Source organism: Homo sapiens, chromosome 11 (genome assembly GCF_000001405.40).
Source record: "Homo sapiens chromosome 11, GRCh38.p14 Primary Assembly".
NCBI lineage: Eukaryota > Metazoa > Chordata > Mammalia > Primates > Hominidae > Homo > Homo sapiens.
This window is the reverse complement of record NC_000011.10, coordinates 130,300,121-130,325,349: the sequence shown is the minus strand read 5'-3', so window position 1 is coordinate 130,325,349 and position 25,229 is coordinate 130,300,121. Positions and strand designations below refer to the sequence as shown.

At 42.3% G+C, this 25,229-nt stretch overlaps 1 protein-coding gene, 1 long non-coding RNA gene and 2 pseudogenes across 23 annotated transcripts in view, besides 5 other annotated features; 2 read left to right on the top strand and 2 right to left on the bottom strand.

Annotated features, from left to right (window-relative positions):
* Positions 1-10,357, bottom strand: part of ZBTB44-DT (ZBTB44 divergent transcript) — an 88,665-nt gene extending 78,308 nt beyond the window's left edge. The window contains exon 1 of the long non-coding RNA NR_148980.1: positions 10,235-10,357. This is a non-coding gene — a long non-coding RNA (ZBTB44 divergent transcript). The remainder of the gene's footprint in view (positions 1-10,234) is intronic.
* Positions 9,340-9,399: a silencer, noted in NCBI's record as "silent region_4081". NCBI's record gives its function as "represses an Ori minimal core promoter by ATAC-STARR-seq in GM12878 lymphoblastoid cells {active_cell/tissue: GM12878}" and the evidence as "EXISTENCE:reporter gene assay evidence [ECO:0000049][PMID:35858748]".
* Positions 9,700-9,799: an enhancer, noted in NCBI's record as "active region_5755". NCBI's record gives its function as "activates an Ori minimal core promoter by ATAC-STARR-seq in GM12878 lymphoblastoid cells {active_cell/tissue: GM12878}" and the evidence as "EXISTENCE:reporter gene assay evidence [ECO:0000049][PMID:35858748]".
* Positions 9,970-10,069: an enhancer, noted in NCBI's record as "active region_5754". NCBI's record gives its function as "activates an Ori minimal core promoter by ATAC-STARR-seq in GM12878 lymphoblastoid cells {active_cell/tissue: GM12878}" and the evidence as "EXISTENCE:reporter gene assay evidence [ECO:0000049][PMID:35858748]".
* Positions 10,310-11,139: a silencer, noted in NCBI's record as "silent region_4080". NCBI's record gives its function as "represses an Ori minimal core promoter by ATAC-STARR-seq in GM12878 lymphoblastoid cells {active_cell/tissue: GM12878}" and the evidence as "EXISTENCE:reporter gene assay evidence [ECO:0000049][PMID:35858748]".
* The window catches only part of ZBTB44 (zinc finger and BTB domain containing 44), an 88,241-nt gene continuing 73,444 nt past the window's right edge, over positions 10,433-25,229 (top strand). For 19 of the 22 annotated variants that reach the window (XR_007062477.1, XR_007062476.1, NR_163264.1 and 16 more), the window contains exon 1: positions 10,433-10,975. The gene's annotated coding sequence lies outside the window, so the exon portion shown is untranslated. Of the gene's footprint in view, positions 11,534-25,229 lie in introns of all 22 variants that reach the window. The other 3 variants (XM_047426847.1, XM_047426844.1, XM_047426841.1) reach the window with 1 other exon arrangement.
* Positions 11,230-11,279: an enhancer, noted in NCBI's record as "active region_5753". NCBI's record gives its function as "activates an Ori minimal core promoter by ATAC-STARR-seq in GM12878 lymphoblastoid cells {active_cell/tissue: GM12878}" and the evidence as "EXISTENCE:reporter gene assay evidence [ECO:0000049][PMID:35858748]".
* On the bottom strand, positions 14,876-15,170 carry RN7SL778P (RNA, 7SL, cytoplasmic 778, pseudogene; annotated as a pseudogene).
* On the top strand, positions 20,636-20,713 carry LOC124902848 (uncharacterized; annotated as a pseudogene).

Sequence of the window (25,229 nt, the reverse complement as noted above, 5' to 3'; positions counted from 1 at the left end):
GACTCCATCTAAAACAAAACAAAACAAAACAAAATAAACAGTGGAAGAATGAGGCAGAAGAACATGGTTGAGAGAAACGTGATGATGGGGAAAGGGGCAGAGAAGAGTTGCTGGCTTTCAAGATGGAATAAGGAGACCATGAGCCAAGGAGTACAAGTGGCCTCTAGAAAGGAGAAAAGGCAAAAAGGGCTTCTCTGTATGGCTTTCAGAAATGGACATAGTCCTGCCTATATCTTGATTTTAAGCCAGGGAGACTTCTGTCCAACTTGTGACTTCTAGATTGTGAGATAAAAAACGTGTGTTGTTTTAAGCCACCATATTTGTAGTAGTTCTTTTTTTGTTTTTGTTTTGTTTTGTTTTGTTTTGTTTTTTGAGAGTCTCACCCTGTCGCCCAGGCTGGAGTGCAATCGCGCAATCTCAGGTCACTGCAACCTCCACCTCCCACGTTCAAGCAGTTCTCCTACCTCAGCCTCTCAAGTAGCTGGGATTACAGGTGCCCACCACCATGCCCAGCTAATTTTTTGTATTTTTAGTAGAGACGGAGTTTCACCTTGTTGGCCAAGCTGGTCTCAAACTCCTGACCTCAGGTGATCCACCCACCTCATCCTCCCAAAGTGCTGGAATTACAGGTGTGAGCCACTGCACCCGGCCTGTGGTAGTTTTTTATGATGGGCATCAACTGAGAGAGAGTGGTAAAGGAAGTATTGGAGGACTGACAGAAGAGATGATAGAAAATAGTCTTCTAAGTGCAAAAGAATGAATGAGCCAGAAAAATGGAATATAACTGCCAAACAGAATTAAAAACACATAACAAAATTGAGAACACCTTCTCCCCCATCTAGATGGCTACTATGAGAGTTCCATTTTTTTATAAGAAAATATTAATTACCCCACTGTTGTGCAATTTTTTTGTGACCCAGTGAAGATCATCTGTTATAAGTTTGGTGAATGATTAGATCATAATCCTAACCACAAATGATTTCTGCATTGGGTTATTAGCAAACACTGTCCTCAAAAATGAATGCAATGAGCTGTTTCAGTCTTAAGCACTGCAAAATAAAATAAAATAAAACAAAAGTCAATCCTTGCAAAATCACCTGTGATTATTGCTCAACCCGTAAGATAAGACTCAGCTCAAATGTATTCGCCAACATGGAGTCTACTGCTAAAATAGAGTCCCCTTCAGAGGAATCCTCCCCAAGCTGTTTCTCAATGTACTAGTCAGGGTTCTCCAGAGAAGCAGAACAAATAAGAGATTAGATATATATTTATTTAATAGGAGACATACTGTGGGCATTGTTTCATGCGATTAGAGGGCAAGGAGTCCCACGATCTGCCATTGGCAAGCTGGATCCAGGAGAGCTGATGGTGAGTCAGAAGTCAGAAGGCCTGCGAGCCAGGGGAGCTGATGGAAATCCTGGTCTGGGTCCCGAGGCCTGAGAATCAGGAGCACAGCTGTCTGAGGGTGGAAGAAGATGGATGTCCCACCTCAAGCAGAGAGAACAAATGCACCCTTCCTTCACCTTTTTGTTCTATCCAGGTCCTCAATGGATTGAATGACACTCACCCATGTTGGTGAGGGTGATCTCTACTTAATCTACTGATTCAAGTGCTAATCTCTTCCAGAAACATCCTCACAGACACACCCAGAAATAATGTGTTACCAGCTATTTGAGTATTCCTTAGCCTAGTCAAGTTGACACATAACATTAATCATCATACTCAGGGATGGCCCTGTTGGATACAAATAAGGAAAACCCTCCTAGCAGAATCCTGGGGCGGCCATACTGAACTTAATCCACTCTTAAGGAAGTAAATTAACAAACAGATGCACATTAAGTTTGCTGGCCCTATGATCTACTTTATTGTCTTCCTCCAGCAAGATGTGCTATAAGATCTGGGCAAGTGACCTCTGTAGGTTGCTCTTCTTTTTCTTCTTTTCTAAAGAGTTTTTTAAAAATTGTGGATATTCTAGTTGTCTTTCATCATTTAATACTTTTTTACCCTAGAAATAGAATGTACACACATTTAATTCATATGAACTGAAGAAGGCTTGAGAGAGGGAAGTATAAGCATCATTTGACTAAGCAAATTAATGCCCAAAGTAAGCAGAATATAGAAGACACAAACGTGTCATTCTCTCAGTTGGTCTGTTTCCAGGTGCCTCTCATAGTGTGGGCATCTAGCAGTCTGAGTCCAAGTCTAGAAGTCCTACATGCAAGCCAATGACTTCCTCTGGGGCTCAATAGAAGGATGAGCCATCTGTTCCAATGCTGCAAGGAAAATCCTCTAGGTTGGACTTACTGAGAGACAGAATGTCAGCCTCCAAGGTGGCTCATAAATGCAATATATTGTGCCTTATGGGCAATTTAAGAGATCTTCAACAGTAATGTTGACTATACATGATCTTCAATTTGTAATGCACATTTTAAATTTTTAGAGAATTTTCAGTTTTACTAATAGAGCAGAAAACAAAAAATAAAAAGGCTAAGTGAAACCAAGTGTGGAAGCAAATGGCATGTAAAAAGTAAAGTAGAGGTTCCTCTTCAAAAAGACTTTCCTCCCTGTCTAATTAGGAATAAATAGTAACTTCTCTTAGAAGCAAAATTTATTCAAAGACCTGTGCTAACATTCTCAGATATCTGCTAGCCGTAATAAAGAAATCAATGTACTTTGTGTTCTTAGCTCCCACAATTTAGCCTAAATATTTGCCCTGGCATGCTTATACTAGTCCAAGCAAGCATTAGGTCATAGCCTGTTCCTCTTCCTTATTTGGAGGTATTTTTACCTTTCTCAGCATTCCACAAGTTACTGCCTCCTTCCTTTGTTCTCCTCTGCTTTTGTCTCTTTTAGAAAGTTCTAAGTTGCTAGCCAGTTGGGACAAATACAGAATTTCAGGTCCTATTCCAGGCAATGGAAACCACACACAGCAGTAGGGTAGACGTGTCAGGTTATAAATAACCCTGTCTCCTTTGTTCGGTGTACTCTCGTGGCAAAACAGCTGGCTAGTGTGCCCTTTCTGCAGAAAGTAAAAATGGCCTTGCTGAGAAAATTAAATTTACGTTCAAGTGGTATTTCTTTGTGGCACTGGGAAACAAGCATTTCTAACAGGCATGTCAGACATGTTAGAACATACATGTTCTAAAGTAGATAGAAAGGGAAGGAAGGACCAAGACATAGCAAATATTCATGATTCACTAAATATACATGAGACACGTTAAGCCCTTGACATTGTTGAAGACTTACATCAGCCACTCATAGTTGATATTATTCTAACCCCATTTGTCCTTTGCCCCAAAAATGCAAATGAAATTGAGACCTACTCATCAGGCTGATTGATGAGATACAGCTACTGCCATGCATACCTATCCCTATGTCTTTCCAATAGGCAAGTCCCTGTGTATACTGGTTCCATACACCTTCCGTCTGGTGGATTCCCTTGCTTAGACATCACCTCTGATCCTCATAACCTCACCGTCAGAAAGAAAAGCTGGCACAGCAAGGGGAAAGACAGGACTATGAACATTGTGTAATCTAGATTCAGGTAGTATGGTCCTTCACCCTGCTTGTACCTTACCCAAAGGGTGTTAATCTACCTCACTCTTTCCTCTTACTTCTCACTGAGTGTTTTAAATTTTTTAATAAATTGTGGGATTCTAGATACTTAGTTTGGCCTGTGGGTCTTCCCCTGACATAGCTTTGCCTAAGGGTCTAGGAGGCTACCATTGCCCCAAGGTAATTTCTCATACAACAGGAGCTGACCTTAGGACCTTTGCAAAAGATACGACTGTATTGTTTTGAGGGCTGTTACATCTGTCATTTAGCCCATAGATTGCAAAATTATATACAACTACATCCAGACCTGATCAACTGAGATTCTGGAAATGAAAGATAAATGTAGTAGCTGGTCATGTCTTTTACTTGTTTCTCATTTAGTAGGCAAGGTGTCTGTTCTACATGGGAAAACTGCATTATGCTAGACAAGAGAATTTATGAAATTAGACTATGGAAAGAAATATGCATGTGCTCAACTATGAGATTATCTGCCTGGTATAGTTCCTTCTCCTAGAAACTGCCCCATAGCATCCACACATCTGGCATGAAAGCTGCATTTTCTGTTTTGTTTTGTTTTTTTTTTGAGATGGAGTCTCGTTCTGTCGCCCAGGCTGGCGGGATCTCAGCTCACTGCAAGCTCTGCCTCAGCCTCCTGAGTAGCTGGGACTACAAGGTGCCCGCCACCACGCCCAGCTAATTTTTTTAATGTATTTTTAGTAGAGACCGTGTTAGCCAGGATGGTCTCGATCTCCTGACCTTGTGATGCAACCGCCTCAGCCTCCCAAAGTGCTGAGATTACAGGCGTGAGCCACTGCGCCCAGGCTGCATTTTCTTCTAAGAAAGTTGATTGGTTTAGGGATGAGTACTCAAACCAAGCTAAACCAGTAAGTCTCTTCCCTGGGATTTATAAATTTAGAACCCCCCAAAATTGAGGTTAGTTCCTCTTCAATATATAGATTTGTATGGTGTATTCCTACAGATTAGAGTATATAGGCATACTTTGTTTCATTGTGCCTCACCTTATTGCACTCTGCAGATTCTGTATTTTTCACAAATTGAAGATGTGTGCGGCAACCCTGCATCGAACAAGTCTATTGGAGCCATTTTCCCAACAGCATGCGCTTACTTTATGTCTCTATCACATTTTGACAATTCTCACGATATTTCAAACTTTTTCATTAATTATTATAACTGTTACGGTGATCTGTGATCAGTGAACTTTGATCACTATTATAATTGTTTAGGGGCACCACAAACTGCACCCATGTAAGATGGTAAACTTAATAAACATGTGTGCTCCTACTGATCCACTGACCAGTTGTTTCTAGTCTCTCTGCCTCTCCTCAGACCTCTCTATTCCCTGAGACACAACAATATTGGAATTAGGCCAATTAATAACCCTAGAATGGCCTCCAAGTGATCAAGTGAAAGGAAAAGTCACATGTCTCTCACTTTAAATCAAATCTAGAATTGATTAAGCTTAGTGAGAAAGACAGATCAAAAGCTGAGATAAGCTGAAAGCTATGCTTCTTGTGACAAAACAGCCTTAGATTGGAGAGAGATACATTTAGGACTTTAATAGCTAGAGAGAAGAAGGCAGTGGCTGGTTTCAAAAGACAGGCTGACTTGTTTGTTAGGGGCTAAAGCAGCTGGTGACTTTAAGTGGAAACCAATGTTCATTTACCATTCTGAAAATCCGAGAGCCCTTAACAATTATGCTCAATCAATTCTGCCTGTGCTCTATAAATGAAACATCACAGCCTGAAGAAGAAAGCACATCTGTTTACAGCATAGTTTACTGAATATTTTAAGTGCACTATTGAGACCTACTGCTCAAAAAAGATTCCTTTTGAAGTATTACTGCTCTCCAACAGTGCAACTGGTCACCCAAGAGCTCTGATGAAGATGTACAAGATTAATGTTGTTTCCATGCCTGCTAACACAACGTCTATTCCGCTGTCCATGGATCACAGAGCTATTTCTACTTTCAGGTCTTACTTAAGAAATACATTTCAGCCAGGTGTGGTGGCTCACACCTGTAATCCCAGGACTTTGGGAGGCTGAGGCGGGTGGATCACGAGGTCAGGAGTTCGAGGACCATCCTGACTAACACAGTGAAACCCCGTCTCTACTAAAAATCCAAAAAAATTAGCTGGGTGTGTTGGCGGGTGCCTGTAGTCCCAGCTACTCGGGAGGCTGAGGCAGGAGAATGGCGTGAACCCGGGAGGCAGAGCTTTCAGTGAGCTGAGATCGCCCACCGCACTCCAGCCTGGGTGACAGAGCGAGACTCCGTCTCAAAAAAAAAGGGGGGGGGGAGGGGGAATAAGAAGCCAGGCGCGGTGGCTCACGCCTGTAATCCCAGCACTTTAGGAGGCTGAGGCGGGCGGATCACGAGGTCAGGAGATCAAGACCACCCTGGCTAACATGGTGAAACCCCGTCTCTACTAAAAATACAAAAAAATTAGCTGGGCGTGGTGGCGGGCGCCCGTAGTCCCAGGTACTCGGGAGGCTGAGGCAGGAGAATCGCTTGAACCCGGGAGGCAGAGGTTGCAGTGAGCCAAGATCACGCCACTGCACTCCAGCCTGGCGACAGAGTCAGACTCCGTCTCAAAAAAAAAAAAAGAAAAGAAAAAACAAAACTGCCTCTGCAACTGGCACATTTCCCAAAAAAGCATAGCTAAGAGATGAAGCTCAAGACAGTGAAAGGGCCCAGATTGCACAGCGGTGTGAAAGCCACGCTGAGGGTTTGGGACTTTATCCGGGGAGCAATAGGAAGCCATTGTTGGCTGACATCACTGCTATGCATTGCAACTCTGGCGACCATGTAGAGAATGAGGAAAAGGGAGAGTGCATTTGGGAAACCACGTGAGTGGTATTATAATTCTCCAGGCACAAGCTAGTATCATCTTATTTTAGGACGGTGGCAGTGGAGAGGGACACATTCAACAGGACTTGTTGATGGATTGGAATTGAGATACAGTAGTAAAGTAGCAAAGTCACCCTGCTTCACTGGGTGAATGGTAAAATGTGAACACTAGAAGAGGTATAAATTTTAGGGTAAGAGAGTGAGATTAATTTTTTATATATGTAGTTGTATAATCTAATCTAATAAGGAGGCAAGGTCGGGTAGAAAGGATTCATGCCTTAATGCTAATGCTTTTGGACTAAATAACTAAGTTTCCATTCAGTTATAATGGTCTTCCACAAGGAAGTGCCATCTTTTGCAGAATTTATTCCCCCAAAGAGCTCGTGGCTGAAATATAACTCCTGGAATTTGCCTGGAATTTGAATTCCTCAGAATCATCCACACCAAGTTAATAATTAAAGGTTCCTCATACTGTCTACATTTGTTTTTTTCACCTGTGTACAGGATTCTGATTTCACAAAATCCTCCCAGCAGTATTATTTAACCTAGTGTCAAAGAAAGGTGTGTATATTCCAGCAACCCAGAGGCAAGTCTCTACCAGCTCAAGAAGGAAAAAGGTGGGAGGCTGCAGAAGCCACAGAAACTGACCCTGCCCAGAGCCAAAGCAGACAAGAGGGCTCCTGCAAAGTTAATCTTCTTTGAGATTTTCTCACACCCTCTCCAAGCATCTAGCATTGAGCTCTGAAGGGCCTCACGGTCATTTGTTCGTTAATAAATTCTTCAGACCTGAGGTGGGGGTGGAGTGGAAGGATGATAAAATATTTAAATGTTAAATGAGAAAGAAAAGCAGGAAAGGGCTCAGGTATGGTAGCTTATGCCTGTAATCCCAGCACTTCAGGAGGATCACTTGAGCCCAAGTTCACATAGCAAGACCCATCTCTACAAAAAATTTTTAAAATTAGCCAGGCACAGTGGCGCACTTGTAGTCCTAGCTATTTGGAAAGCTGAGGCCAGAGGACGCTTGTGCCCAGGAGTTTGAGACTGTATTTAGCTGTGATTGCACCACTGCACTCTTGGACAACACAATGAGAGCCTGTCTCCAAAAAAAAATTTTTTAAGTGGAAAAGGCAGAGGAGACAAGGGAATAATCTAAGGGAAGAAAAGTTTTTAAATGATAAAAGCCATATATGACAAACCCGCAGCTAATATCACACTGAACAGGAAAACATTGAAAGCCTTTCCACTAAGATCTGGAACAAGACAAGGATACCCACTTTCACCACTCCTATTCAATATATTTCTGGAAGTCCTCACCTGAGCAATTAGGCAAGAGAAAGAAATAAAGGGCAACTGAATTGGAAAGGAAGAAGTCAAATTATCCTTGTTTGCAGATGACTTGTTCTTATATTTAGAAAAACCTAAAGACTCCATCTCTCAGAACTTTGATGAACGAATTCAGTTAAGTTGAAGGATACAAAAATCAATTGATTTTCTTTTCTTTTCTTTTTTTTTGGAGATGGAGTCTTGCTCTGTCGCCAGGCTGGAGTGGCACGATCTCGACTCACTGTAACCTCCACCCCCTGGGTTCAAGTGATTCCCCACCTCAGCCTCCCAAGTAGCTGGGACTACGGGCGCGTGCCACCATTCCCAGCTAACTTTTTTGTATTTTTAGTAGAGATGGGGTTTCACTATGTTGGCCAGGCTGGTCTTGAACTCCTGACCTCGTGATCTGCCTGCCTTGGACTCCCAAAGTGTTGGGATTACAGGCGTGAGCCACCACACCCAGCACAGTTGATTTTCTATATGCTAACAGCCATCAATCTGAAAAAGAAATCAAGAAAACAATCTCATTCACAATAGCTACAAAAAAGCAAAATAAAATACCTAGCAATAAATGTAAGCAAGGAAGTGAAAAATCTCTACCCGGAAAAGTGTACACATTGATGAAAGAAAATGAAGAGAACAAAAAAAAAAAAAAAAAAAAAAGGAAAGATATCTCACGCTCATGAATTGAAAGAATTAATATTGTTAAAATATCCACACTACCCAAAGCCACCTACAGGTACAGTACAATCCCTACCAAAATATCAATGACACTCATCACAGAACTAGAAAAAAAAATCCTAAAATTTGTATGGAACCACAAAAGACCCTGAAAAGCTAGGGCAATTCTGAGCAAAAATAACAAAGCTAGAGGCATTCCTCTACCTGACTTCAAGTTGTACTACAAAGGAAAGCAAATTTTTGTGTCAGTGTAGTAGTTGAGGAGCTGCCACCACAGCCCCTGGAGAAGCACTTAGAAAAGACTTGCCTCATGGTCTTTTATTGACTATCCTGTTAAAGGCACTAGGAGAGGTAGATAGGATTTGACTACTTCATTTCCACCCTGATTCTTGTCCAGTTGCTTACCACCTACATACATTCTCACACATTCCTCACCAGGGCCCCAGCTCATGCCCTTTCCTGAGCCCTGCTCTGTGGCCGCCAGTCCTCTCCCAGGTAAGCATTCCGCCTTCTTTCCCTTCCCCTCTTCAAAACTTAGTGCAAAAGTTTCTGGGCCTAGTTCGCATCTTTCTGATTTTTCTCATCTCTGAAATGGGAATAATAAGAATGATAGTGGGAATAATAATAGAAACCTGTGATAAAACCTGTGAATTACAGTTGCCGTAAGGATTAGATAACATTATACATGCTTGAAAACTTGTTGGAAACTGCGAAGGACTATAAAAACAGAAGTTGTTTTTATTGCCTTTATTCCTAAAGAAGATTGCAAGTGTCAGGGTGTTCAGGTGCTTGGCTGCTTGTCTCTCAGAGTGAATTAATGTGAGATGTTGCCAAGTGTTTCAAAAGGAAAATCCACTCTACTTCAGCGGGACGTCCACCCACCTTGCACAAAACCCTCTGGAAAGAAGTCTTTCGGTTTGCAAACTGGAGGCGTGGGAAAACAGAAAGCGCCCAAGGAGCACCTGCCCGCACCCCGCCCGCCCCCAGGCACCTGGGGCGCTGCCGCCTGCAGTCCCGGGAACCCCTATGACCTCCGGGGGCGGTGTGGAGAGCGCTCGCCCGCCTGGCCAGGGGAAGCCAAGACTTAGGGCCCTAGGAGTTAACTAGGTTGATTGATTTTGCAGTTGACCAAGAACTTCAAAACCCCCCGGGCGGTACCGGTTACTTCGGGGAGGCCCGCACACTTCCTCCGGGAAGGCCAGGAAGTAAGTGATGGTGCAGTAAAAATGACAGATTCACGGTTGTGGAAGAAGTAGGGTATATTTTTGGAGCAGCTCTAGCTGTCCCTGTGTTGGAAGAACGAGAGGGACCTGGGAGTCCGTTTCTCCACTCATCTCAAGAACCGCACGTCCTGCCAGGTCACCGAGGCAAGTGCTAGAACGGAAGAGAGCAAGCACTGCGAGGAGGCCCGAGGAGCCACGCAATCCAGACACCCGCCGCATGTCGCAGTCCGCCCAGGACGGGGGCGCGGGCTCACCTGTCTGCGGGGCGGCCCTTGGCAGGCCTGTTTCCATGGGTGAACAATGGGCACCTTACCAACTAACCTCCCTCGCCGAAGAGGGGCTGAAGTGTTTCTATTTCGACCTCCCTACAAAAACTACCCGAGAAAATAGGAGTTATGTTTTTAGTTCGAAGAAAAAAATAATGCTATAAATGTGACTCCTGCGGAGAAATGCTTCTCAGGTGTGAGAGGGGAACTGGGTAAGAGGACGGCTTAGAGGAAGGACAAATGGGACAGGGCTTATGGGGCATGTGAATGTAAATCGGCACATGTGCGCACATATGCAAAAATACAGTGTCAAGACTCACGGCCTTTCTGGGTCACGCAGGCTCCACCGTCTAAGGAGACGGAGTCACCAACAGTACAAGTCCCGACGGCCAAGAGGGCCCATTTTCTGCGCTTGCGCAATCATCACGTTTCCTTCCCCGCCCCGAGCCCCGCCCCCGAGCGCGCTCCGCCCCGCCCCCTTCTCCTCCCCTTCCCCAGCCAGGCCGCCGGCGCAGAGCATTGTGGGACACAAACAAAGTGCCCCCAAACAGGCTGGAGTGAGCGGAGCGGCAACGGCGGCGGCGCCGGCCGCACGCGCGCGGCGGCGGCTCCCTCCCAACCTCCCCCTCCCCTCCCCTCAGTCCCCTTCCCCTTCCCCACCCCGCCCCGCTGGGAACACGCGAGCCGTCGCCGCGCTCCCCAAACAACCGCCTGCCCTCGGCCAACCGTCCCCAACGGTCGCCAGCGCGCGGCTCCCGGGCCCCCTCGCTCCTCCCCTCTGGCCCCTCCGAGCGCTGGGGGTGCTTCCCTCCCCGCCTCCTCGCACTCCCACTCGCGGGCACGCCGGTGGCTGTGCCGCCATGCCCCACCACAGGCTGCTCACGGGCCTAGGCGCGGCGGCCCGAGATAGGGGCCCCTGAGCCTCCCGGGGGAGGAGAGAGGCAGCGAGCCGCGCTCCGCCCCCTCCCCCCGGGCCGCCGCCGCCGCCGCCTCGCCGCCCCAGCCTGGCGGGAGAAGGAGGAGGAGCAGCAGGCCTCCGGGCCCGGCGCCGCCGCCCGCAGGTAACGGGGAGGGGAGGGCGGGCTCCGGTCGCGCGGGGGACGGCCCCTGCACGCTGCCCGTGGCTGACACCGCGTGGCCCCCACCTGGCGCCGAAGGGAGCGGAGAGCCGGGTCTGTCAGCCTAGTCCGCGCCGGGAGACACCCCACGGGATCCCCTCGGTGGCATTTAATCCTTCTGGGAGGAGACCGGCCTTGGGCCCCGCGGTCCCGGAGCAGTTACCCCGACCTTCCAGGGAGCTGCCCGTCCTTTGCACGCCCATTTGCCCAACACCCTAACCCGGAGCGGCCGGAGTGTTGCCACCTCTCACCTGGTCGAACCCGGGAGGCTCAGACCTGTTTTTTTTCCTCCTTTCCCCTTCTGCTTTTTCTCTGGTACAGAAAGAAAAAGATGGCACTTCTTTAAAAAAATATATATATATATATATACACACACACAAACACACACACACATACACACACACACACACCTCTTTTCCTTTCCTTCCTGAGGATCACTCTGCATCTAGTCGTTTTATTGCTGGCCTAATCAGAAAAAGGGGTTACCTCGAGAAATGACAGGTACGTTAGAACTGATTAAAAGGAAATTGCGTCCATGTGAGTTCTATGAATCCAAGCAGAATTTACAATAAAACCCCGTAATTGTGTGCTTTTTTTTGGAACTTACAAAAATGAAGACAAAAACTTAATTTCTTTTTCAGCGTGTAAGTAGATAATCTCTTGAAGTCAGGAAGAAATTCTCCATAACTTCCACTTATTTTCTTAATGCTTTATTTGGAGATCGGCTGATACCGGAAGCAAGCTGCACGATTTTGATTTCCTTTTCTCTAGGTGTTCAGTTGGAATTCTTGGGTTTAAAAAATACTGTATAAATCTTCATTTCCCCCATTACTTCACTTGGACTGTCAGTGGATTAATAATAATTTTACCTAATGTAGTTTCCCCTTATCATAGAATGTGAATATAATGAACGTAGTCCTTTAGTTTTGTATTTTAGGATTATTAGTAATGTACTGATTAATTATGAAAACCAGATTATTCATTTTGTGCAGTACTGCTTGGCATTTTTGCATTTGTAATTATTTAATTCTCAGAACAACCTAATGATGCAGATATTATTACTTGAATTTTATAGAAGTGACAAACTTAGTGATACGAAGAATTACAACTTGCCTTAGGGCACACAACTAGTAAGATAGTTTAGATTTCAACCCAAATATAATTCCAGTATAGATGTACTTTCGTGTACTTTCTACCGTACTTCTCAATAGAAGTACAATTTTATTAACTTTGTTATGAAAAATTTTAGTCGTATAGAGGTTCGTTCTATACAATTGTGATCGGTTATTCATGCAATGAATAAAAATGCTAATCAATGCAATGAATAACCAACTCAGTGATTAGCATTTTTGCCATATTGTTTCCTGTCTTTCTCTGTATGTGTGTAATTATTTGAAAGTAAGCTGCAAACACTGTAATCCTCAAATATTTCGGCATGTGTTTCCTAAAAATAGGGACATTCTCCTACTAACCCCAGTATCATTATTAATGCCTATCAAAATTAACAACTCCATCTTCAAAATTCCTCAGTTGTTCCAAAGTGTCTTTGAGGGTTCTGCCCCCAGTTGTAGTCAGTCAAGATTCATGCATTGATTGCATTTGGTGATTAAGTCTTTAGTCATTTTGTAAAATGAAGAGTATCCATCCCCTCTTCTTTTTGCAGGGGAAATTAAATAGGATGAATATTCCCTCCCTTCTTTTTTTCTGACACGTAATTGACCAAACCAGTTGTCTTGTAAAATATACCCACATTCTGGATTTGTGCCCTCCTAATGTCATTTCGTTTATTCCTCTTTCTCCCTGAATTTCCTATTAACTGGAAGTTAGGTGTAAAGGAAGGCTTAATTAGCTTAAAGTAAAACTTCCTTTGGCAAGAATATTTAATAGGTGATGCTGTGTACCTCCTGTTGCATAATATAGGAGGCACACAATGTCAGATTCCCACACTATTAATGATGCTAAATGTAACCATTTGATTAAAGTGCTGACTACTGATCTGTTGTAAAGGTGTGGTTTGCCAGTTTGTGATTAATATGTAATCTTGGGGTAAAACTTGGACACTAAGCAAATACCCAGTTTCTGACAATCTTTTGCTTAGTGGTTTTTAGCACCCATGATGACTTTTGCTTAAATCAGTTATTGGAGGTTCTCTGTAAGGAAGAGATTTCCTTCATTAAGTGCAGGTAAACTATTGTTCTTCCCCAAAATGCAAATTAAATGTTAAATTTAATCTCTTTACTTTTCAATATTCATAGTAAAGAGCTGGAGAAATAGCCACCCCCAATGATGTTTTTTGGGGCAGGGGTGAATGATACCACTTCAGACTCTCATGGGTTTTAATTTATTCCTTGTTTTATAACCAGTTACAGTCGTCTTTCTTTTTAATGACCAAATTGTCCCAGATTTGGTCAGTAGGAACCATTTCAAGCTGACTATTGTGTGTCTTGACACCCCTGCTCCCCATTAATCTTGGAGTGCTTTCTGACACGAGTTACTCCAGGGTTTATCTTATACTTTCTTTGCTCACCTCTGGAAAGAGCTGTTTATCCAGGGAGTCTTGGTTCTTTTTAATGAGAAATCGTATATAGAAACCAAGTTCTGGATGTTTGGCATATTCGTTGCTGCTGCAGTATCATTGCTTCTAGGTGCTTTGAGAGGAGAGAACTAAGAAAAAGGTTTTTGCTTGTTTAATCATGAGTTCAGAGTGATATTCCAATTCCTATTTAACAAGCAGACTTTTTCTTCCTTGACTCTATATTTGTCTCTTGTCTTAAATGAAAATCTTGGTTTTTAATACAGTTAATAAACTGGCCAAGCACAGTGGCTCATGCCTGTAATCCCAGGACGTTGAAAGGCCGAGGTGGAAGGATTGCTTGAGCCCAGGAGTTCAAGGCCAGCCTGGGCAACATGATGAGACCCCATCTCTATAAAAAATAAAAAAATTAGCCAGGCGTGGTGGTGTGTGCCTGTGTTCCCAGCTGCTCAGGAGGCTGAAGCAGGTGGATCACTTGAGCCCAGGAGGTTGAGGCTGCAGTGAGCCATGTTCATACCCCACTGCACTTCAGCCTGGATGACAGAGTGAGACCCTGTCTCCAAAAAAAATAATAAACTTATTTGCTTTCTCCCACTGTATACATAAAATCATTTTAAAATTATAGTGCTGGTATTGCTAATACCAATAAGCTTCATGTAGTTTAAGATTTCTTTGCATTTATTTTCGTATTTAGACTATATTGCATGAAGAATGTATAATGAGTACTGTGTTCAAAAGTCACTTGAAATACTTTTCTCTGGTTATGCTACCAATTTGATATGGTTCATAGGTTTCAGTTTTTACTTAGGATTTTATTTTTGAATATGTAAAGTATGTACATAGTGTAGAAGTCAAAATAATGTTTTAAAACTATACTTGGATTAGCCGGGCATGGTGGCACATGCCTGTAGTCTCAGCTACTTGGGAAGCTGAGGCAGGAGAATTGCTTGAACCGGGGAGGTTGCAGTGAGCCAAGATTGCGCCATTGCACTGCAGCCTGGGTGACAAAGCGGGACTCCATCTCAAAAGCAAAACAAAACAAAAAAAAACTATATTTGGATAAACCTCATTAAAATTAGTTTTTAAAGATGAAGTATTGTTTACCTTTACCATACTCCTTTTAGTATCTACTACATTCTCACATCAAGCTCAGAAGAATTAGCAATAGACAAATTATGTTATGTGAAGCCACATAGAAGTACTTTTAAATTTTAAAATTAGATTCTGCTTCCTCTGGCAAAGAGAACTAAGACTAGTTTTTAGAAGTTAGCAGAGAAGTGGATTCCATGCTTACTTTTTTTTTTTTTTAAAGACGGGGGATTTACTGTGTTGCTCAGGCTGGAGTGCAGTGGCTATTCACAGATGTGATCCTACTACTGATAAGCACGGGAGTTTTGACCTGCTCTGTTTCTGACCTGGGCCACTTCTCTCATTAGGCAACCTGGTGGTCCCTCACTCCCTGGAGGTCACCATGTTGATGCCTAATTTAGTGCAGACACCCAATCGGCATAGGATACTACAGTCCAGAACTTCTGGGCTCAAGGGATCTTCCTGCCTCAGCCTCTTGAGTAGCTGGGACTACAGGCACACACCACTGCGCCCAGCTCTTTTTCTTAAATAGTGATTTAAAATAGTGATAGATTCTCATTATGTTGTCCAGGCTGATCTCTCAAACTCCTGAGCTCAAGTGATCCTGCTGCCTTGGCCTCCCAAAGTGCTAAGATTACACATGTAAGCCTGTAGCCGTAGGCCTAGATACCATATTTTTAAATAAAAATTCCATAAAAATAGAACTGTAGCTTTTACTTAAATCATGTCTTTAAAGAGGCAGGTAGTTGGTAGAGGTTTTATGACTCCATCTACTTTTTTAACTTTTTTTTTTTTTTTTTGAGATGCAGTCGCCCTCTGTTGCCCAGGCTGGAATGCAGTGGCTCGATCTCAGCTCACTGCAATCCACCTCTGCCCCCTGGGTTCAAGCGATTCTCCTGCCTCAGCCTCCCTAGTAGCTGGGATTACAGGCATGTACCACCACGCCCAGCTAATTTTTGTATTAGTAGAGATGGGGTTTCACCATGTTGTCCAGGCTGGTCTCGAGCTCCTGACCTCAAGTGATTCACCTGCCTCGGCCTCCTGAAGTGTAATCCTGGCCTCCTAAAGTGCTGGAATTACAGACGTGAGCCACTGCGCCCAGGTGACTCCATCTACAACAAAACTGGCATAAATATGCTATGTACAGATAAAAAGGCATTTGGATATGTGATCAGTGGAGATAACACATTTTGTTTGGGTTGGACCAAATTTGATATAAATTCATAATTATGTGATCTCAAATGAAGTTTTAAGAGGGAGCAGTGTTCATCTAAAGTAAGCAGAGCACAATTAGGCAGTTTATCAGCCTCCTGTCAACCAAGTGCTGAAAAGCAAAACTGTGCCTGTAGTGTGTTTTCCTGTGTTCATCCTCACTGTCATAGGTCACACTAGCTGAGGCTGGCGTTGCAGGTGGTAAAGGAATTACCAAGGCAATTGTAGGTAAAGAAGGGCAGATTTATTAGAGAAAGTATGAAAGTAGGTTGGTTGCAAGGGTGCAACGGGCAGATCAGCAAGAGAGAAGCTGACTGCCAGGAGACAATGGCTTGCTGGGCATGTTACAGGATGATGCTTCTGCTGTGTGCTGCAGAGAGGGCTATGTGCAGTACTGATAAGGCCAAGGTTGCAGTGAGCTAACTTGCATTTTTCTGTCAGCTGAGAGTCTGGTGATAAGTTGAGTGCAGAAAGCTTGTGAGTTATTTGTGCAAGAGGGCTGTGTGTCTTGGACCATGAAGAAAGGCAGACTTATACCTTATCTGCTTTTTCTTTTTGCTGTACCCTTTTCCCACCCGCCTGACTCCTTTTCCCTTACTAGGACTCCACAATCACTGCTTTCAATAACAGAGTGAACATCTAGTTCCATTAGGGAGTGGAGTGGGAAGATGGAGAATGCTTGCACTTGGACCCATTCACCCTCATTCTGTCTTTAATCTCAGTAAAATACATACACTACCCAAGGTTCTTAGAACATATAAGGTGATGAAGAAGAATACTATAAACAGTTGCATGGGTATGTGTAGCCATGTAGCAGCTAGAACCTGTTGTGTAGGCTGAATGAACTAATACAGTGTTGATAATAATGCTAACATTTGTTATGCCCTTTCTGTATGCCAGCTGTGCTAAACATTTTATACATTATCTTATTTAAATCTCACATTAACACTTTGACATTGCTACTAGTATCTTATTTTGCAGTAAGGAAACTGGTATCTAAAAGCATTAAATGACTTGCCTAGAGTATCACAATAAGTGGCCGACCCAGGTTTCAAATTCAAGGCTGTTTAGAGTTAGCACTTAGCTGCTTTGCTCCACCTCACAACTAAATGTAACAAGTCATAAAAATTGAATAAATTTTCAGTCACCATGAATACGGAACTACATGACTGATGCTGTAACAACCTCAGAGATTGCAACGGGGATATGTTCTGAGAAATGCGTCGTTAGGCGATTGTGTCATTGTATGAACATCATAAAGTGTACTTAGACAAAACTTGATGGTATGGCCTACTCTACATCTAGGTTATATGGTATAGCCTGTTGCTCCTAGGCCACGTATCTGTACAGCATGTTACTGTACTGAATGCTGTAGGCTTTTGTAATGCAGTGGAAAGTATATGTATATCTAAGCATATCTAAACCTAGAAAAGGTGCAGTAAAAATATGGTATTACAGGGTTGCGCACGGTGGCTCATGCCTGTAATCCCAGTACTTTGGGAGGCGGAGGCGGGTGGCTCACCTAAGGTCAGGAGCTCGAGACCAGCCTGACCAATATAGTGAAACCCTGTCTCTACTAAAAATACAAAAATTAGCCAAGTGTGGTGGCATGCACCTGTAGTCACAGCTACTTGGGAGGCTGAGACAGGAGAATTGCTTGAACCTGGAAGGTTACACCAGTACCATGCTGTTTTGGTAACTATAGCCTTGTAGTATAGTTTGAAGTCAGGTAATGTGATTCCTCCAGCAGTGAGCCCAGATTGCACCACTGCCCTCCAGCCTGAGCGACAGAATGAGACTCTTGTCTCAAAAATAATATGGTATTATAATATGGGACGGTTGTGGTATTTGTGGTCTATCATTGAGGGACACATGCCACGCATGATTGTATATCATTTTCCTTTCTCATAGGTGCGGGAGTTTCTGACCCCTTGCTTCAGAAACTGCATTTAGATACTACTTTAAAAGGCATTTTAAAAGTAGAGTAAAAATCAAGATGGATTGATGGATGGATAGGTATGTGATAAAACAATAACAGTAGACTTTTTTTTTTTTTTTTGAGACAGAGTCTTGCTGTGTTGCCCAGGCTGGAGTGCAGTGGCACGATCTCAGCTCACTGCAAGCTTCATCCCCTGGGTTCACGCCATTCTCCTGCCTCAGCCTCCCAAGCAGCTGGGACTACAGGTGCCTGCCACCATGCCTGGCTAATTTTTTTGTATTTTTAGTAGAGACGGGGTTTCACCGTGTTAGCCAGGATGGTCTTGGTCTCCTTACCTTGTGATCTGCCCACCTTGGCCTCCCAAAGTGCTGGGATTACAAGCGTTAGCCACCACACCCGGGCTACAGTAGAATGTTAATGGTGGGCTTTAGGTATGGCTATTCAGGTATTCAACTATAATTTTTTTTTTTTTTGCTTGTTCTTTGATTTTTTTTTTTTTTGAATGTTGATAGTTTTGGGGGTGCAGGTGGTTTTTGGCTATATGGATAAGTTCTTTAGTGGTGATTTCTGACATTTTGGTGCACCCGTCACCTGAGCAGTGTACGCTGTACCCAATGTGTAGTCTTTTATCCCTCACCCCACTTGCACCCTTCCCTCCAAGTCCCCAAAGTCCGTTATATCCTTCATATGCTTTTGCGTCCTTGTAGCTTAGCTCCCACTTATAAGTGAGAACATACGATATTTGGTTTTCCATTCCTGAGTTACTTCACTTAGAATAATGGCTTACAACTCCATCCAAGTTGCTGCAAAAGCCAGTATTTCATTCAGTTTTCATGGTGTAAATATACCACGTTTTCTTTATCTGCTCGTTGTTTGATGGGCGTTTAGGTTGGTTCTATATTTTTGCAATTGTGAATTGTGCTGCTGTAAGTGTGTGTACATGTGTCTTTTTCACATAATGACTTCTTTTCTTTTGGGTAGATACCCAGTAGTGGGATTGCTGGATCAAATGGTAGTTCTACTTTTAGTTCTTTTTTTTTTTTGAGTGGAGTTTAGCTCTTGTTGCCCAGGTTGGAGTGCAGTGGCGCAATCTCGGCTCACTGCAACCTCTGCCTCCTGGGTTCAAGCCATTCTCCTGCCTCAGCCTCCCAAGTAGCTGGGATTACAGGCATGCACCACCACGCCCAGCTAATTTTGTATTCTTAGGAGAGGTGGGTTTTCTCCATGTTGGTCAGGCTGGTCTCGAACTCCCGACCTCAGGTGATCCGCCCACCTCAGCTTCCCAAAGTGCTGGGATTACAAGTGTGAGCCATCGTGCCCAGCCTACTTTTAGTTCTTAAAGGAATCTCCATACTGTTTTTCATAGTGGTTGTACTAGTTTACATTTCCACCAGCAGTGTAAAAGTGTTCCCTTTTCACCACAGTCATGCCAATATTTATTATTTTTAATTTTTAAATTATAGCCATTCTTACAGGAGTAAGGTAGTATCTAATTGTGGTTTTAATTTGCATTTCCCTGATAATTAGGGATGTTAAACATTTTTTCATGTGTTTGTTGGCTGTTTTTATATCATTTGAGAATTGTCTATGTTTTTTTTAACCCATTTTTTGACAGGATTGGTGGTTTTTGTTTGTTCGTTTGTTTTTGCTGGTTTGTTTGTATTCCTTGTAGATTCTGGATATTAGTCCTTTGTTGGATGCATACTTTGCAAAAATTTTCTACCACTTTGGGTTGTCTCTTTACTCTGCTGATTATTTCTTTTGCTATGTAGAAGCTTTTTAGTTTAATTAGGTCCCATTTATTTTTGTTGCATTCGCTTTTGGTTTTTTGGTCATGAATTCTTTGCCTAAGCTAATGTCTAGAAGAGTTTTTCTGATGTTATCTTCCAGAATTTTTATGGTTTCAGGCCTTAAGATTTAAGTCTTTGATCCACCTTGTGTTGATTTTTGTGTAAGATGAAAGATAAAGATCCAGTTTCATTCTTCTACATGTGGCTTGCCAATTATCCCAGCACTGTTTGTTGAATAGGGTGTCCTTTCTCCACTTTATGTTTTTGTTTGCTTTGTCAAAGACCAGTTGGCTGTAAGTATTTGGCTTTATTTTGGGGTTCTCTATTCTGTTCCATCGGTCTACATGCCTGTTTTTATACCAGTACCATGCTGTTTTGGTGACTATAGCCTTGTAGTGTAGTTTGAAGTCAGGTAATGTGGTTCCTCCAGATTTGTTATTTTTGCTTAGTCTTGCTTTGACTATGTGGGCTCTTTTTTGGTTCCATATGAATTTTAGAATTGTGTTTTCTAGTTCTATAGAATGATGATGGTATTTTGATGTGAATTGCATTAAATCTGTAGATTGCATTTGGCAGTAAGGTCATTGTCACCATATTGATTCTACCCATCCATGAGCATGGGATGTGTTTCCATTTGTTTGTGTCATCGATGATTTGTTTGAACAGTGTTTTGTAGTCTTCCTTGTAGAGATCTTTCACCTCCTTGGTTAGGTATATTCCTAAGTATTTTAATTTTTCTTTGGCAGCTGTTGTAAAAGGGATTGCGTTCTTGATTTGATTCTCGGCTTGGTCATCATTGGTGTATAGCAGTGCTACTGATTTGTGTACATTAATTTTGTATCCTGAAACTTCACTGAATTCATTTATCAGATCTAGGAGCTTTTCAAATGAATCTTGAGGGTTTTCTAGGTATAAGTTTGTATCATCAGCAAACAGCAACAGTTTGACTTCCTCCTTTGCAGCTTGGTATAAAATTCTTTAAATTTTGCTGTATCTAAAAGTTTTCAAAATAAAATGTTACTGACTAAAAATATATTCTTAGGACTGTACTTTCAGGGATCATTTCTATAGTTTGTTTCTAGAGAAGTTTCTCTGAATATGTAGAGCACTGGAAAAATCAATATTTTTTTTAAAAAAGAGAAAAATATATGTATATTCTTATTATAAAGCAGTATTGGCAGCTGTGTAAAAACCAGTAACATGCTGTATCCTCCATGTCTGTGTACGATGATCCTCTGAAAAATTTATTAACTCTTCCTAGTCTTTTATCACTGAAAATGGTCAAGCATTAAAGACTGTTGTAAAGAGGGTTCCCTCATTACTTAGGAGGCTTCTAATTAAGCTCCTTCCAATATGATTTTTTAATACTCTTATAAATATTTCATATATCAAATTTCCGCCTGTGGTTTCCTGACATTTTGTAACCCCTATTGAATACACTCTATATAAGCGTTATGGGGTGTTTTTGCTTTTTAAGTGCTACCACATTCACAACTGTAACGGATAGTCCTTGGTACTTCAGAATAATTGTTTAAAATTTATCTCCTGTTAAGCTAAAAGTTACATTAGTTTTTCTTTGTTCTTTATAGTAGAAATACTTCACCCCATTTTAAGCAATGAGCTAGAAATATTCCAAGCCATAGGATTTAAAATAATGATTGTATGTGTGCCTTTAAAAATTAAAAAAATACATTAGATTTGTATTATGCTTGAAGGCCACATTGAGTGTTAAATTAATTTTTTCACTAATATTATTAGTTACAATGTTGATATTGGCTGGCACAGTTTTACATAACTTACCCTGGAGTAAATCACTGACTTGTATTATCATGTTGTTTCACGTTGATAACTCTGTCTTGCAAGAGTGAAATGGGTGGCTGAAGCTTATTAATTAGAGAATAACATCCTTCTTTGTCTCCACATTGAATATTCTTCCCTTTTAATACTTTCCTTATATAGCTTTAAAAAAAAAACTTAAAATTACAGATGTTTGATACCTGGCCTTTTTACAATTTTGATATTCTTTTACTTCAGGATATTGCTATCCTTCTACAGGTATTAAATGATATTTTTTGGGGGGTGTTTTTTTGGGTTTTTTTGTTTTGGTTTTGGTTTTTTTGAGATGGAGTTTCGCTCTTGTTGCCCAGGCCGGAGTGCAATGGCGCCATCTTGGCTCACCACAACCTCCACCTCCCAGCTTCAAGCAATTTTCCTGCCTCAGCCTCCCGAGTAGCTGGGATTACAGGCATGCGCCACCACGCCCAGCTAAGTTTGTATTTTTAGTAGAGACAGGGTTTCTCCATGTTGGTCAGGCTGGTCTTGAACTCCCAGCCTCAGGTGATCCACCCACCTCGGCCTCCTAAAGTGCCGGGATTAAACGTGTGAGCCACTGTGCCCGGCCTTGGTATGTATTTTTTAATGCTGAAGTGATTTGCTATTGATTTGGTTTTGATAGTTTTTTACGCACTCAGCATAACTACAAACATCTTGGCAACGTGTAACTAAGACTGTGAGTCTCTGGAATCTAGTTTTTGTGGAACTACTACCCTCTAGCTTCTGAAACAACTTTAGATGATTCCTTTTAAAAATTATTTTCTTTTATTCCAATCTTAACCTGTTAGGTATCTGATCCTTGCCTATTCTTGGCAGATAAGCATATCCAATAGTGTATTTTATTAAATAATCGTGCTCTTTGATAAGAAAATAAAGAATAAGTTTTTCAGGGACTTAGATTTACTTACTTTGCTTTAATTTCACTTTTGTGTATGTGTGGGTGTGTGTGATGGAGTTTCACTCTGGTCCCCCAGGCTGGAGCGCAATGGTGTGATCTTGGCTCCCTGCAACCTGCACTTTCCAGGTTCAAGAGATTCTCCCGCCTCAGCCTCCCGAGTAGCTGGGATTACAGGTGCGCACCACCACACCCAGCAGGTTTTTGTATTTTTTAAGTAGAGACGGGGTTTCACCATGTCAGGCAGGCTGATCTCGAACTCCTGACCTCAGGTGATCACCTGCCTCAGCCTCCCAAAGTGTTGGGATTACAGGCGTGAGCCATCACGCCCGGCCCTCATTTCACTTTTTTACTGGTGGTGGTTACTGTTGTGTGTATGTGTTTCTTCTACTTACAGCTTTTTCTCCTTTTTACATTTTTCCTGGGTTTTACTTTTTCTTTGGCTCTTTGCTCTTCTTACTTTCTGCTTTGGACCTTCCCACTGCTCATTTCCTTTTTGTGGCTTTCCATTACTGAATCAGGACGGTTTCTTTTGTCTTTGGTGCACTTCACATGCTGTATAAAACTAACCCATTCTTCCAAGAGAATTATTTTTATTTACAGGAATCAGTGCTTCTCTTTGTCTTTGTGTCCACTTGGTATTGTTTTTTCCTTCTTTCTACTTTCCGCCACTAGTTTTACCTAACTTCACTTTGAGAGGCAGTATAGCATAGTGTAAGGAGCACCAGTTAGCATGCTAGCTGGGTTCAACTCTTGACTCTGTTACCTGTTGTGTGGCTAGTTCCTTAACTTGTCTATGCTGCCTTTTCCTCACTGGTAAATGAAGATACCTGGTGATAGCTATCACAAAAGTTTATGTGAAAATTAAGTTACATAATATGTAAAGCGTACTTAGAACAATACTTGGCACATATTGGGTACTATGTAAGTATTAACTATAAACTAATGATTATTATTACTTTTTTTTTTTTTTTTGAGACAGGGTCTCCCTCTGTCGCCTAGGCTGGAGTGCAGTGGTGTGATCGTGGCTCATTATGGCCTCGATCTCCTGGGCTCACCGGGTTCAAGAGATCCTCCCACCTTAGCCTCCTGAGTGACTGGGACTACAGGTGCACTCCACCACTCCCATCTAATTTTTGTACTAGAGATGGGGTTTTGCCATGTTGCATTGGCTGGTCTCAAACTCCTGGGCTCAAGCAGCCTGCCCAACTCAGCCTCTCACAGTGCTGAAATCACAGGCATGAGCCACTGCACCTTGCCTATTGTTACTACTTTTAATATAAAATGGTTCAAAGCAGTTGGGTCTTCAGTGCCTCTTATCATACATCCTTCTACTTTTTTCTCCACATTTATTTATTTATTTGAGACAGAATCTGGCTCAATTGCCCAGGCTGGAGTGCAATGGCACAGTCTCTGCTCCCTGAAGTCTCTGCCTCCTAGGCTCAAGCCATCTTCCCAACTCAGCCTCCCAAGTAGCTGGGACCACAGATGCACACCACCACACGCAGCGGATTATTATATTTTTTGTAGATGCCCGCATCTACGTGATCTTACCATGTTGCCCAGGCTGGTCTTGAACTCTTAAGCTCACGTGATCTGCTTGCCTTGGCCTCCCAAAGTGGTGGGATTAAAGGCATGAGCCAGCATACTCGGCCTCCACGTGTTATTTTTCATGTTTCATTTTCTTAAAAATTCTACTTCATCATCTTTTCTCTCAGGAGTCTGCCTCTTAAAACTTGAAAGAGGAGTAAAGCCAAAGCCAGACAAGAACTCTAGCTACTTCTCACCACGCCACCAATAAACTTAACTATAGCTGTACTCTTTCTTTCCTCTCCCCATCTCCCCAGCCTGGGCCTCCGCCTGTTTAAGGCTAATCCTTTCACTCATCCTCTGAATCCCATTTCCTTCTACCTATCTAGGGACCTTATACCATCTGTTATCACCCGTTTCCTGTATCTTTAACCTTTCCCTCTTTTCTGTGTCTTTTCCAACAAAAATCAAAACATTCTGTTTATATTTTACTTTAATAAAAAAAAAATCTGAGAGAGTAACAAGGGAAAAAAACATTTTCTAGCTTGTCCATTCTGTAAAAAATCAGTATCCTCGCCTGACCCCTTACTTTTGTCCAGCTAACCCCCTTGCTCTATTTTTAGAACCTAGCTACTTTATGATGAATTATCTTTACTCACAGTTTTCACTTCCTCATGTCTGTATATTCTTTCTTTTTCTATGGCAATCTTGCTTCTAATTCTACTTTTTTCTTATATGCTATTATAAGGTCATCAGTGATTCCTCTGTGGCTAAATCAAATAGACTTTGGTTTCTATCTTATTTGACCAGTCAGCAGCATTTGACACTGTCAATCACCACTCCTTGAAATACCTTGTACCCTTGGTTTCTGAAGTAACTCCTACTATGCTGGTTATTCTGTGTATCTATCTCTTTCACAGGTTTCCCTTCTGATACCCCGCCTTCACTTTTTTCCTCTTTTTTTTCTTAATTGGTCTAGCTAAAGGTTTATCAATTTTGCTTATTTTTTTCAGAGAACCAAGTTTTGGCTTTAATTTTTCCTATGGCTTCTCTGTTTAATTTATGTCTGTGCTTTGTTTTGTCTATTTATTTTGGGTTTTCTTTGCTCTTTTTCTAGCTAAGGTAGACACATAGACCATTGATTTGTGTGTGTGTGTGTGTGGTGAAATACACGTAACATAAAATTTGCCATCATAACCATTTTTAAGGGTACAGTTCAGTGGCATTAAGTACATTCACATTATTATACAACCATCACCACCACCCATCTTTCAGAACTCTCTTCATCTTTCAGAAGTGTAACTGTGCTCGTTAAACAGTAACTCCCCATCTCTGTCTCCCCACATCCCCAGGCAACCACCCTTCTACTTTTCTGT